Raw genomic sequence first — 13,035 nt, 5'->3', positions numbered from 1 at the left:
AAACCCATCCTCAAATAACTATGCCATAAGTCAAAAAGAAAAGTACAGTAAGGGAGCAATGCTGGCATCAAAAGCAAGACTTGGGTAGCTACCCAATGTGATTTTGAGTTCTGCTGCTTACCAGGTATGTGATGTTGGGGAAATTACTTAATCACTCTGAATTTTTGTATCCTCATCTGTAAAAGGAAGATAGTGAGTATACCCAAAATTCATAGAGCTGTTTTAAGAATTACATGAGATCTCATTCATGCACATGCACTTGAAGACACACATGCACATGTACCCATTCATGTGCATACACAAACAGAGCACACACATGGCCCGGGCATTGGGACATGGTAAGGAGTCAAGGAATATTAGCTGCAGTTCTCACTAAGAATGGTACAAATAAGGTATTATGAATTTTTCCACATCTCGATAATCATATACTTCATATTTTTAAGCACACGCTTTTGAAGTAACCACATCTACAAAGATGATTGGGAACAATGAAAATTCTTGTTGAGCAATGAATCAAACTCAGTTACCAGCAGCTCATGAAGGAGAGGTTGAGAGGTTGAATAGAAAATAAAGCAGAAAATAAGAGTCAGGAAATAATTACTAGCCAATATGATAGGGTCTTAGAAGAAATGAAATACATCTAAGCAGGCAGCAGCATTAGAAGCAGAATATTATTTTCCATTATTTCTTTACTTTGTGTTATACAGAGAATTGTGAGCAAATACATTTAGAGATGAAGAAATTGCATGATTAGATGGCAGTGGTGGGTTTATAGGCTAAGTGAATACACCCTCTGAGAACCAATGAGAAATCTGGTGAGTTGAACCAATGACTTTTAGAAATAATCTTTAGGTTTTACAGGGAATCAGAGTATAACAGAATGTGAAGGGAAGTCCTTCCCTAACCACGAGTGATGACAATGAGTGACACCCAGAAGGCAGAGCTAAAGAAGTCTCACCCAATCACCGAGTCCATCTGTTCACATCAGCAAACACATATAACTCAGAGTGAGGAAAAAAAGTGTCTGTCATTTGAGAATTTTACTAATTGTTCGACATCTATATTCCTGAAAAGCTAAAGGAAACCACTGCAAAGAGGCTGATATTTCTGACTTTTTGAATGACTCCAGCTATATGGGCAGTAAGTCAAGAGGGATGTAATTTGTATGCTAACTTAAAAATTACATTAAAATTAACATTAGCAGCTTTCTACGTTTGTGAAAAATGCCATAGTAAAGACGAATACGCTAAGGTTTCCTCAAGTTACTAAAAGTTATCATCAATAAAATTCTTAACAGAGATAAGAAAGTTCTAGTCATTTTTTGTTGCTGGAGATGACCTCCAGAATGCTGGTTTCATCCATCGCCATAATCTTCCATGGATAGCTGCAGAGCTCATTGCTTTGCCAATCATGAAAAACTCCCAAGTTCCTTTCTTCTCAAGTTTACATGTGAAATTTAAAAAAGCAAACCTATCCAGAACAAAGTACATGGGCAAATGGCCCAGAAAAATGAGCATGTGGCACAGAACATCAAAGATGAAGAGACAGCAGTGCCCCAGAGAGACAGCATAATTCAGATAGCATTCTGTCCTGGTCCTCTGTGAGGTCTAGGTTGGCATAAAAAACAGGTTTACAGATAATGAATTAGTTTTGCCAGAGACTCCTAGCCTCCACCTCCCAGGAGGTTGTGTGAAATATAAAAAGGCATTTGATGTCTTCCTAAAAGTCTCCCACCTTTTCACCACTGTGGTTACAACCGTGAAATATCTCCAAGCTTTATTTCCAGCTGATGGTTAAGCAGGATGAGAACGCTGAACATTTTTGGAGAAAGAGAGTTGTATTAAAATTATTCATTGTAATAACTTCATTTGGACAAGAAGAAAATGACAGGAAAGGTAATTTGTCTCCCATCCAAGTACTAAGCAGGCCCGACCCTGCTTAGCTTCCGAGATCAGACGAGATCAGGCGCGTTCAGGGTGGTATGGCCGTAGACAGTAATTTGTAAAACCAGTTGTGGGCCTTATAATTTGGCTCCTTCATTTTTCTGCCAAATCCACTGAGAAGAAGGCACATTATCTCACTCCTTCCTACTGTCATCATCAAATGACCAAGCCACAGAGGTGACATGGAAGGCAGCAGGTACCTGGAATTTCTAGGTTAAAATTTGGTAGTAATTACTATAAATGGAAAAATGACTATGCCAAGTGCTTCATGCATATTAGCTCATGAAAGGTAGGCAAACCCATTTTAAAAATAAGATGATGGACATTCTCAGCAAACTAACATAAGAACAGAAAACCAAACACTGCATGTTCTCACTCATAAGTAGGAGTTGAACAATGGGAACACATGGACACAGGGAGGGGAATATCACACACCGGGGCCTGTCATGGATGGGGGACTAGGGGAGGAATAGCATTAGGAGAAATACCTGATGTAGATGACGGGTTGATGGGTGCAGCAAACCACCATGGCATGTGTATACCTATGTAACAAAACTGCACGTTCTGCACATGTACCCCAGAACTTAAAGTACAATAATAAAAAAAGATGATGGAAGCACAGAGAAGTAAAATAATTAATATCATCCAGTCATTATATGGCATGCATTGGATGATTCAGAATTGGCCACTGTGCTATACCGCTTCATATACTACTGTTTTTAACTAAGCATGTGACCTTAGGTGAGTCACTCACTGTCTTTCATCTCCATATACGGTATTCCATTCTATGGCCAGCATTTATAATATGAGCAGGACAGCACCAAGCTTCCTCAATTAAGTTTTAGTGGAAAGCAATTAAGAAGTGACTGGAAAACACTTGATGTAAAGGTCAGTTCTTTCTCTTTTATTTACGATCTAATCTTTCCTTTCTTTCCATCATTGTAAGAATGCTTCTATTAATAAATTATACTTCTTTCTAATATCCCTGAGTCACCACTTTCTTGTAACGTGATAAACTGCCTTGTTTATAACACACACACACACACACACACACACACACACACAAAGCCTTAGCAACACCCTCTGGCGGCAATTAACAAACTTCCTCTGGATTAGTTTTTACTCTTTAAGTGTAAGGAGAACTTTATTAAGGAAAATGGAAAATTTACAATGAAGAGGGAAATATAACACAATATAAGTTTTATTTTTAAAAAATTCAAAATTTTAGGACTAGAGAAAGCCAGAAAAGCAGGAAGCTGCCCCAGCCAATCGAAGAGGTGTGTCTCTGTGCAGAGAAGACATGCTAGGTCAGAAGAAACAATACAAACTTCAGATAAGTGTGAGGCCTTCACAAGCTGATTGTTTTTTTTTCCCCTTTTGAATACTGACATTTTTTCTAAATTTTGAAGTAAATAAATGTTCAAAGTATCAGTTTTACTGGAAGATACTCATACCATTATAAGAGTAACTGGTAGAGTTTGTTCAGAGTATAGCACTGTATTAATCCAGATCTTTTGGATATAACAGAAACCCATTCCAAGTTAGCTTGAGCAATACTCTGGGGAAAGAGTGAAAGATTTATTAGAAAAATATACAGGTGTCCAGTGAAACCAAGTCAAGGGAAGAAGTGTTTCTCTGCTTTGTAAAATCCTGGGACCAAGAACTAGGCAGCCACTGGGGGTTCAAGGTGCAGGCCCAGCCTTGAGGCTTCATCATGTCCTAGCTGTAGCCCCCCTACTCCATGTTCAGCTTTTTATTCCCAGCTCTACATTTACAGGAAACAATCAGATTATCTTGCCTTGAGCCAGAAGTTACCTCTCCTCTTCTATATTGTTCTTGCCACAGGCAGAATGAGAAGATCATATGGTTCAATTAACTCATATCACCTGTGCATGTAAATGTTGAGCCTTCGACTGTATATACATGGCAGAAAGAGATACATAATCTTTAAAGTGAGGACAATTCAGCCTGCTGACCTACTCAGTAAGTATGTGACCTGGTGCATGCATAATTTGGAAGATATAAATCTGCTGTTACCTCCCTTTACCTCAGCGTGAGTATCAGTGTGTGTGTGTGTGTGTGAGCATAAGTGAGAGTCATCCTAGTAATTAAAGCTGTGTATTTTTCCTACACCATATTCCTTAGACCCAAGTGAAGTGTTTTATCTAGTGCTCAATCAAGGAAATAGGCCACCTGATTTAAAACTGAGGAAAAAATTGGCTATCCTCAACCCATTAATGAACAATTATTCATTTTACACACACACAAAAGGAAAGTTCCTATGTGTTTTTAAAGGTCAATTTTCAGTAGATATGTTTTTTACCTTATACCTAGACTTTCTAACATAATCCTCACGTAAGATACCATTGCTTTGTACAATCATTTCTCTTTGACCAGCACCCGCTCTTGAGGGTGGAAGGTGATTATTTGAGAAATGGAGCATGGAATAAAGATGCAGTTTCCAAGGTGTCTTTGAAGAATATGGCTTCATATAAACTGAAAACTCTTAGATGGAGTTGATAGTCTTATAATCAGGCTGCAGAAAAGAATCGAAAAACAACTGATCAGACACAATTACCAATGTCTTAACAGAAGTAGAATAGAGATGATGCCCTGATATTAAAAACTAAGTATTTTTAAGAACAGTCAAATATTTTGAAGATTTCTTTTTTTAAAATTTTCAGTTATCTCAAAACTGAATTAATGACAAAAATATTAAAACACTTTAATCCATTAATTACATGGAGAACTTTTTGTGATGCTGTGCTAATTTATTAAAATTCTATTTTGTTAGTTTTCATAATACAGCTGCTCATCAGAACTGATATATGCCCCCACCACTAGACACCAACAAGCATCTTTTGAACTTTTGAGCTCAAAGTAACTTTATTTTAGTCACTTTTTTTTTTTCCGTTGAGATGGAGTCTCACTCTGTCGTGAGGCTGGAGTGCAGTGGCACGATCTCAGCTCACTGCAACCTCTGACTCTCTGGTTCAAGCAACTCTCCTGCCTCAGCCTCCTGAGTAGCTGGGATTACAGGTGTGCACCACCATGCCCAGATAATTTTTGTATTTTTAGTAGAGACAGGGTTTCACCATGTTGTTCAGGATGGTCTCTATCTCCTGACTTTGTGATCCACCCACCTCAGTCTCCCAAAGGGCTGGGATTACAGGTGTGAGCCACTGTGCCCAGCCAGTCAGTTATCTTTTTTTTGGCTATTAGAAAAAAAAAAAAAAAAAACACCTCAAATGAGTTTAAGAAAAAGCAGCAAAGAATTGTTCTGGCTCATATGATCAAGTAGTCCAGAGAGAGGCATAGCTAGATCCAGAGGTTCAAATATTGCCTTCAGGCATCTTTCTCGCTTTCTTCCCCTATCTTTCCTCTCTTCTTTTCTAGATATTAGCTTCATTTTCAAGCTGAGTCTTTCAAAGCAGCAGCTGACATTTCTCCCCACAGCCCAAGCTCCTAGTGACAAAGTTAAGGTGGCCTTTCTCTAGGCATCTATTTCACTTATTTCACTTAGCCCAAAAGGATTTCTATTGATCTAGTTGGGCCATGACCCACCCCACCACCAGAAGAATCATTGTGTTTAGAAAAATGTCCCATATGATTGGCCAGGACTGGGAGAGGGAATGGGACAGAAATAACATAAACACATCTGGGCTTTTTTTCTCCCCCGTCAATCTTTGGGGAGGAAACGGTAGTCACATCCTCCTAAACCATTATTATAAAGTGATAAAAGGATAGTTTCCCTACAAAACCTATAAAATGGGGGAAAATCATATTTGCTATAAGCTTCAAGATAAACTTTCAGAAATGGCATACTAGAAAAACACATATTTGTAATACACCTGACAAATGGTTGGCATCACTAATATATAAAGAGTTTATAAAGTAGAGAAGAAAAAGACCACCAACCCCCCCAAAATGGCAGAGTTTTAAACAGAGTATTCACAAAAAATAAAATGCAAATGGACTTTAAACATTTGAAAAGATGTGAACATTGCTCATAATAAGAGAAATATAAATTACAACTACAATGAGGTATTATTTCTCACCTACCAAATTGGGAAAAATCCAAAAGTTTGAGAAGGTTGTTAGCAAAGTAGCAGGGAAATAGCCACTGATTAATATATGCATATACACATTCCCACTGTTGAAGTGAGAGTTCACAAGTAAGCAATATTTCATTGAATATTTCATTGAATCCAACCATAAAAATGGTTTCCCCTGTACCTTTGGGTCTTCATTCTGAAGGCTCCCTTGTCATATAATCAAATACATTTGTACATCTTTTCTCCCATTAATCAGCATTGTGCCCATTGATTTTCAGTGACCCTTCAGAGGGCAAAGGGGAAGTTTTCCCTCGGCCTGTACATCTGTTAACTGAGAAGCCCTAAAAGAAACAATGCCCAAGTAGCAATAAGCACACCCAGTGCCCCAGTGCCCCAGTCTTTTTTTTTTTTTTTTTTTTTTGAGATGGAGTCTCGCTCTGTCACGCAGACTGGAGTATAGTGGTGCGATCTTGACTCACTACAACCTCTGCCTCCCAGGTTTAAGCAATTCTCCTGCCTCAGCCTCCTGAATAGCTGAGATTACAGGCATGTGCCACCATGCCCAGCTAATTTTGTATTTTCAGTAGAGACAGGGTTTCTCCATGTTGATCAGGCTGGTCTTGAACTCCTGACCTCAGGTGATCTGCCTGCCTCGGCCTCCCTAAATTTTGGGATTACAGGCACGAGCCACCACTCCCGGCCTGTGTCTTGATTTTTAATACCATTCTTCAATAAAAGAAGCCAGAGATCTTTGGAAAATTCTAGATTCTAGAACTGAGGCAGAAAATACATGCACCTGGATAATCCTGTAGTAAGAAGTGCACACACACACACACACACACAAGCCGGGTGCAGTGGCTCACGCCTGTAATCCCAGCACTTTGGGAGGCCGAGGCAGGCAGATCACGAGGTCAGGACATCAAGACCATCCTGGCTAACACGGTGAAACCCCGTCTCTACTAAAAATACAAAAAATACAAAAAAATACAAAAATACTAAAAATACAAAAAAAAAAAAAAATTTAGCTGGGCGTGGTGGCAGGCACCTGTAGTCCCAGCTACTCGGGAGGCTGAGGCAGGAGAATGGCTTGAACCTAGGAGGTGGAGCTTGCAGTGAGCCGAGATCACGCCACTGCACTCCAGCCTGGGAGACAGAGCAAGACTCCGGCTCAAAAGAAAAAAAAAAAAAGGCAAAACAAAAAACCCACCTTGAGGGAGGATGTGTCAAGGGACACAGGAGCCAACTGAAAGAACTCTCAATAGCCAAAGTTGGAAAAATTTCAACAACAAAATACATAATACGGTATTGGATTATAAACCTAAGTATTGTTAAGTAAAAAAAAAAAAGACTGACACAAAAGTCAAAGGAAATATCATTTCTTTGGTAAACCAATAATTGCAATTCAGGCACATTCAATCAGGGCAGCCCTGAGTTGTGTCCTATACAGAAAGAGCAGAAGAGGTTTTTTAACCAGGGATTTAAAAAAAAAAAAAGTGTTTTCAAAGGCAGATCGTTGCTGGGCGGAAATCCTGAATCGTAAACCCATTCTGATTGGTTAGCTAACCAGGGTCCTCCCACCTGAGAGATGTTGAAGGCTGGCAGATACTGACTTCAGCTGTTTATTCAAGTCTATTGGAATAGTCTGTGGTTTGACCCTGAGCAGGTGTGAGTGAAATCCTCTCACAGTCTCCCAACTCCGCTCTAATTAGAAAGCTTTAGCCTTAGTCACTTCATTTCCTTTCAGAGTATGAAATAAATAAATGAGTAAATACAGATATAAATAAATAATTGAATAAATTCAATGGGGGAGAAGGAGATATGTTAAATATTTATTTACTAATTCATTTTAAAATGACAAAAATGAATCCATTATATGTTGTAAAGGAAAATAAAAATCTCAGCACCCCAAAACTCCTTATGCCAAAGCGAAAGTTAAGCCTGGAGGCTGAGTCACACACACCCTCCTCCAAATGAGTAGCTGTTACTAGCATTATACATTAGCCAGACCCCTCAGAAAAGGTAAAAGGCCTCAGGCATCTCTGAATGACTGCCCCACAAATCATTTATAGGCAAATTTTTTTGCTGGCCTCCCATAAACAAGGACATGCCATATGTAACTTTAGGTCTACAATCTAAGTCTAGCTCCTAAAACTAAAATCTGTTTGATTCCACACTGATGATATCATTACAACCTTTTCTCGCCAGGTGCAGAACAGAGACAAGATCAATCATTCCTCCACCAGCCAGAAATGTATGCATAATTGATTCTTCCTTTACTCTTTTTTCTTTTATCTTCAAACATTCACCTTAATTTTATGTGAAATGTAGATTTGCTGGGCATTAACTAAAGTCTCACAAGAATGTAACCATTTGCTCCTACCCACCTCTTTCCCTACATGTCTTTCTCCCTTTAGGAAAATGTATAAATATAAACCTTCTGAAAACCTATTCAGAAAAACAGCAACAGATGCCTCTGTGATTTACATTTTCCTGGCTGTGCCCTAAAGCTGGCTTAAAAACTCTGATTGATTGAGATGCCTGCCTCAGTCACTCATTTTGGTTATCAATGTTAACATAAATAGCACATTTTTATGAAAAATAGCTATATTCCCCCCCAAAAAAATAAGTAGATTGAATTGTTTTTTTTTTTTTTTTTGCAAATCTCTTTAATATATGGCTTAATGGAAAAGAGTTTGATTTTTATATCTGCACTGCATTCAACTTGTGATACTACATGTCAAATAGATTCTGGAAAACTACTGTACACCTATGACAGAGTGAGATTTTTAAAAAGAAAACTATATTTTACTATCATTGTGAAACTAGTCTTGATCTCGTGGATTCTCTGAAAGTGTCTCAGAAACCCCCATGCATCCCCAGAACACACTTTGAGAATTGCTACTCTAACCTAACTTCCAATTTACAAGATACACAGAGGAACATATTAAATGACACGGGGGCAAAATATATCATCAGCAAAATATAGAATGTAAGAAACCCTATGGAATAATGTTCTCATTTCTTCAACAAATAAATTATGAGAAAACAGAGCAGGGAGAAAATTATAGACTAAAAGGAACTTAACAGGCTTATCTACCAAGTGCAATGTGAGGACCTTTTTTGAATCCTAATTTGAACAAATTAATTTGTTTAAAAAGGAATTTATGAGACAATTGGTGGAATTTAACCACTGATTAATATTAATATATGTTAATATTAAATAATCGTTAAAATCTTTTAAGTAGGAGAACGACATTATGGTCACATTTACTAAAAGTGCTTATCTTTTAGAGATACCTGCTGAAATAGTTACAGATAAAACAATATGATACCCAGGATGTGCTTCAAAACAGTCTGTCAGAAAGGAGGAGGGAGCATCGGTAGGAGTTGAGACTGTGTGACGGGTTCACAAAGTTCATTACGCTGTTTCCTCAAATTGTGTGTATGTTTCCATTTCTTCATAATAAAAAAAAGAGTTTAAAAAGAGACAGAAGTATCCAGATGTGTCCACTGAAACTTGGCGCTCAGCAGGCCAAATGCCTTTTTGAGGTCCCCAAATGCAATCGGAATGAAAGCTCGTTAAAAGGCAGTTTCAACACCCCCACAGGATAGACCTTGCTTTTCAACTTGGAATGACTATTCAGGTAGCTGAGTAAAAAGTGATTTTGCTGATTTCTACGTAAGGAAAGCAGACTGAATTATGTTACAGCTTGTGTTCTGATTGTTTTTATGACAATAGGCTTTCTAGACATTTCTGCTCTGCTACAATACAGGAGTTGGGACCTGAAGGGGCTTGTGCATGTGAACAGAACAGGGAAGGAAGGAGGGCTACTGGATGCCATGACTTATGTCCCTCTTTGTGTAAATCTGGAGAAACACAGGTTTACAGAAATGCTTTATGGTGCCCCTGGCAAGCAATAGTATGTATCTTCAAAAATTCTATATGGTGAAAAGTATCATAAATAATTTTTTAAGGCTGGGCGCAGTGACTCATGCCAGTAATCCCAGCACTTCAGGAGGTTGAGGCAGGTGTATCACCTGAGGTCAGAAGTTCAAGACCAGCCTAGCCAACATGGTGAAACCCCATCTCTACTAAAAATACAAAAATTAGCCAGGCGTGGTGGTGGGCACCTGCAGTCCCAGCTACTCAGGAGGCTGAGGCAACAGAATCACTTGAACCCTGGAGGCGGAAGTTACAGTGAGCTGAGATCATGCCACTGCACTCCAGCTTGGGCAACCCAGTGAGTCTCTGTCTCAAAAATAAATAAATAAATAATAAAAATTTAAAAATTAAAAATCCTAGTAGCCATTAACATATGTTCACTACACATTGCTAAGGAAAAAATAACATGTCACAAACAATATGTGAAGTATGATCCCATTTATGCAAAGAGCAAACAAACAGAAACAAAACAATACAAATACAACATAAGTTTGCACATGTGCATTTGTGGACATGGATGATTCTGAGAGTAGTAAGTGAGTATGTTTTCACCCAAACTCCTTTTTACCCTGTAACACCAACTTGGCTACTCCACTGCCCTTAAGATAAAGATGTCACACTAGAACCGGAGCTACAAAAAGGCATCCAATTCTGGATACTTCTGTTTTCCAAAGCTGAGATCCACTTGTAAAACACTTGCAAACATTTTGTTTTTCTATGCTAGAAGGAGGAGAAAAATACCTCTCCCTGGGCAGGAGAACAAGGAAAAATAAAACAAGTAGTATAAACTAGTCATATATCTGAAAAGAGACCACATACTCTGAGCTCTCCAAGAAGGTTAATGTCAAGTGGATGGGAGAAATAGAACTCTCAGATCAGTACAGGGCTTGAGAGCAGAGCTGCCCATGTCTGCTTTCCCTCTGAACCCTGACAGCAAACTCTTCTGAAGGAGCTTTTCACTCTATCAAGGTATGATAAAACTTGAAAAGAGATGGCTGGATTGAGTGCGGGGCGGGGGTGGGTATCAGAGGTAGAGAAGTTCCAAGGTGGCCCCATAACTTTCCTATATCCTTGAAGAATCGTTTTTCATTTGCAGAATAAAAAAGGAAGAAAGTCTACATATCTGAAATGCTCTTCGATAGACCAGCAGATGGTGGCATAATCAGTATGGCCAAGAACCAAGTGGGACTGCCAATATCTCACTGGATGCCCAGGGAGGGCTCCACATCTGGAACAGGGTGGAATGATGTACATCCTAGCAAATTCAATGGTGGACAGACCCCATGGAGGTCCAGCTATCTCCTCAGTCCAGAAACCATGACACTCCTTAAATTCCCAGTATTTAAATAAGTCCCAGAGAAGGATGAGCAAGGGAAACTGAAGTAGTCAGGACTGAAACTTGAAATAATTTTGCTAGGATTGACTATACAGTAGATCCCTGTTATCCACAGGGGATACTTTTCAAGACCCCCAGTGGATGCCTGAAACCACAGATAGTACTAAACGCTATATATACCATATGTTTTCCTAGACAGTAAAGGGTGGGTAGGCTATAAGAGTGGATACCCTGGGCAAAGGAATGATTCACCTCCTGAGCAAGATGGAAGGGAACGGCACAGGATTTCATCACACTACTCTGAATGGCATGCAAGGTAAAACTTACAAATTGTTTACTCCTGGAATGTTCCATTTTAATACTTTTGGACAGTGGGTAACTGAAACCATGAAAAGTAGAACTGCTAGTAAAGTGTTTTCTGTCATTAGGCGAGATGGGCAATTGAAATAATGATTATCAAGAAAAAAATGGCAAAAATTGGCAAATACTTTTGCTAAAAGACTAGACACACACATGTAACTATGTGAGATAATGGATATGTTAATATGTTTGAATACAATAACCATCTCACTATGTATATGTACATCAGAAATCATACTGTATACCTAAATATATACAGTTTTTAAAACTGAAAGAGAAGAAAAGTCATGTGTGTGTTACACACACATATTGTTAAATGAATAGAGACAGCCATTCTCTGGGGGAACACAGTAGGATTTAGAGAATGTGTGAAGGAGAAGCTCACTTTCCACACCATTTGTATTTCTGTAGATTGTTTGCATTTTTCACATTGGGTCATGTTACTTTTGTGATAAAGGTTTTTGTTTCAAAAACAATGATTACAAGGCCGGGCGCAGTGGCTCACACCTGTAATCCCAGCACTTAGGGAGGCTGAGGCGGGTGGATGACCTGAGGCCAGGAGTTTGAGACCAGCCTGGCCAACATGGCAAAACCCTGTCTCTACTAAAAATACAAAAATTAGCAGGCATGGTGGTGGGCGCCTGTAATCCCAGCTACTCAGAAGGCTGAGGCAGGGAGAATTGCTTGAACCTGGGAGGCGGAGATTGCGTTGAGCCGAGATCACGTCACTGCTCTCTAGCCTGGGTGACAGAGAAAGACTCTGTCTCAAAAAAAAAAAAAAAAAAAAAAATTAGCTGGGCATGGTGGCACATGCCTTTAATCCCAGCTACTCAGGAGGCCGAGGCAGGAGAATTGTTTGAGTCTGGGAAGCAGAGGTTGCACTGAGCCCAGACTGCACCACTGCACTGCAGCCTGGGCAACAAAGTGAGAGTCCGTCTCACGAAAAAAAAAAAAAAAAGATTACATTCAATGGTTTCACAGACAACTGGTAGGGTGGGACTCTTTGCTACAGTGCACTTACCACAAGGCACCATGTCTTCACCACAAAGTTGGTGTAGGAGAGAAATGCAGGGAAAGGCTGGGTGACTTTTTCTTGTCACGAAGAAGAAAACATTAAACTGTGAAAAGCACGAAAGAATTGTCAAACGTACATGACACAAGCCATAATATAGTGTGTGAAACGTGGCAAGCACCACTTGTGTAAAACTCACCCAAACACTAATTTTTCTCAAAAATGGAAAACATATTATTAATTATAAGTAAAACCTTTGAGTAGAATCACACGATAAGGTTACAAAACACCATCTCCTGAATTGGAGCACCACCCCTATGCCCACCACAAAATGAGTCATATTTCACCTACCATTTACTTTTTATCCTTTCAATTGTTATGAACAT

At 39.1% G+C, this 13,035-nt stretch overlaps 1 protein-coding gene and 1 pseudogene across 4 annotated transcripts in view; both read right to left on the bottom strand.

The window, feature by feature from the left end:
- Window positions 1–13,035, bottom strand: part of SGCD (sarcoglycan delta) — a 1,039,957-nt gene that overhangs the window by 920,359 nt on the left and 106,563 nt on the right. The gene's annotated exons all lie outside the window — the stretch shown is intronic.
- On the bottom strand, window positions 1,903–1,993 carry RNA5SP199 (RNA, 5S ribosomal pseudogene 199; annotated as a pseudogene).

This window comes from Homo sapiens, chromosome 5 (genome assembly GCF_000001405.40).
Source record: "Homo sapiens chromosome 5, GRCh38.p14 Primary Assembly".
Classification (NCBI taxonomy): domain Eukaryota; kingdom Metazoa; phylum Chordata; class Mammalia; order Primates; family Hominidae; genus Homo; species Homo sapiens.
The sequence above is the reverse complement of the archived record's forward strand: the minus strand, read 5'-3'. Positions and strand labels throughout refer to the sequence as shown.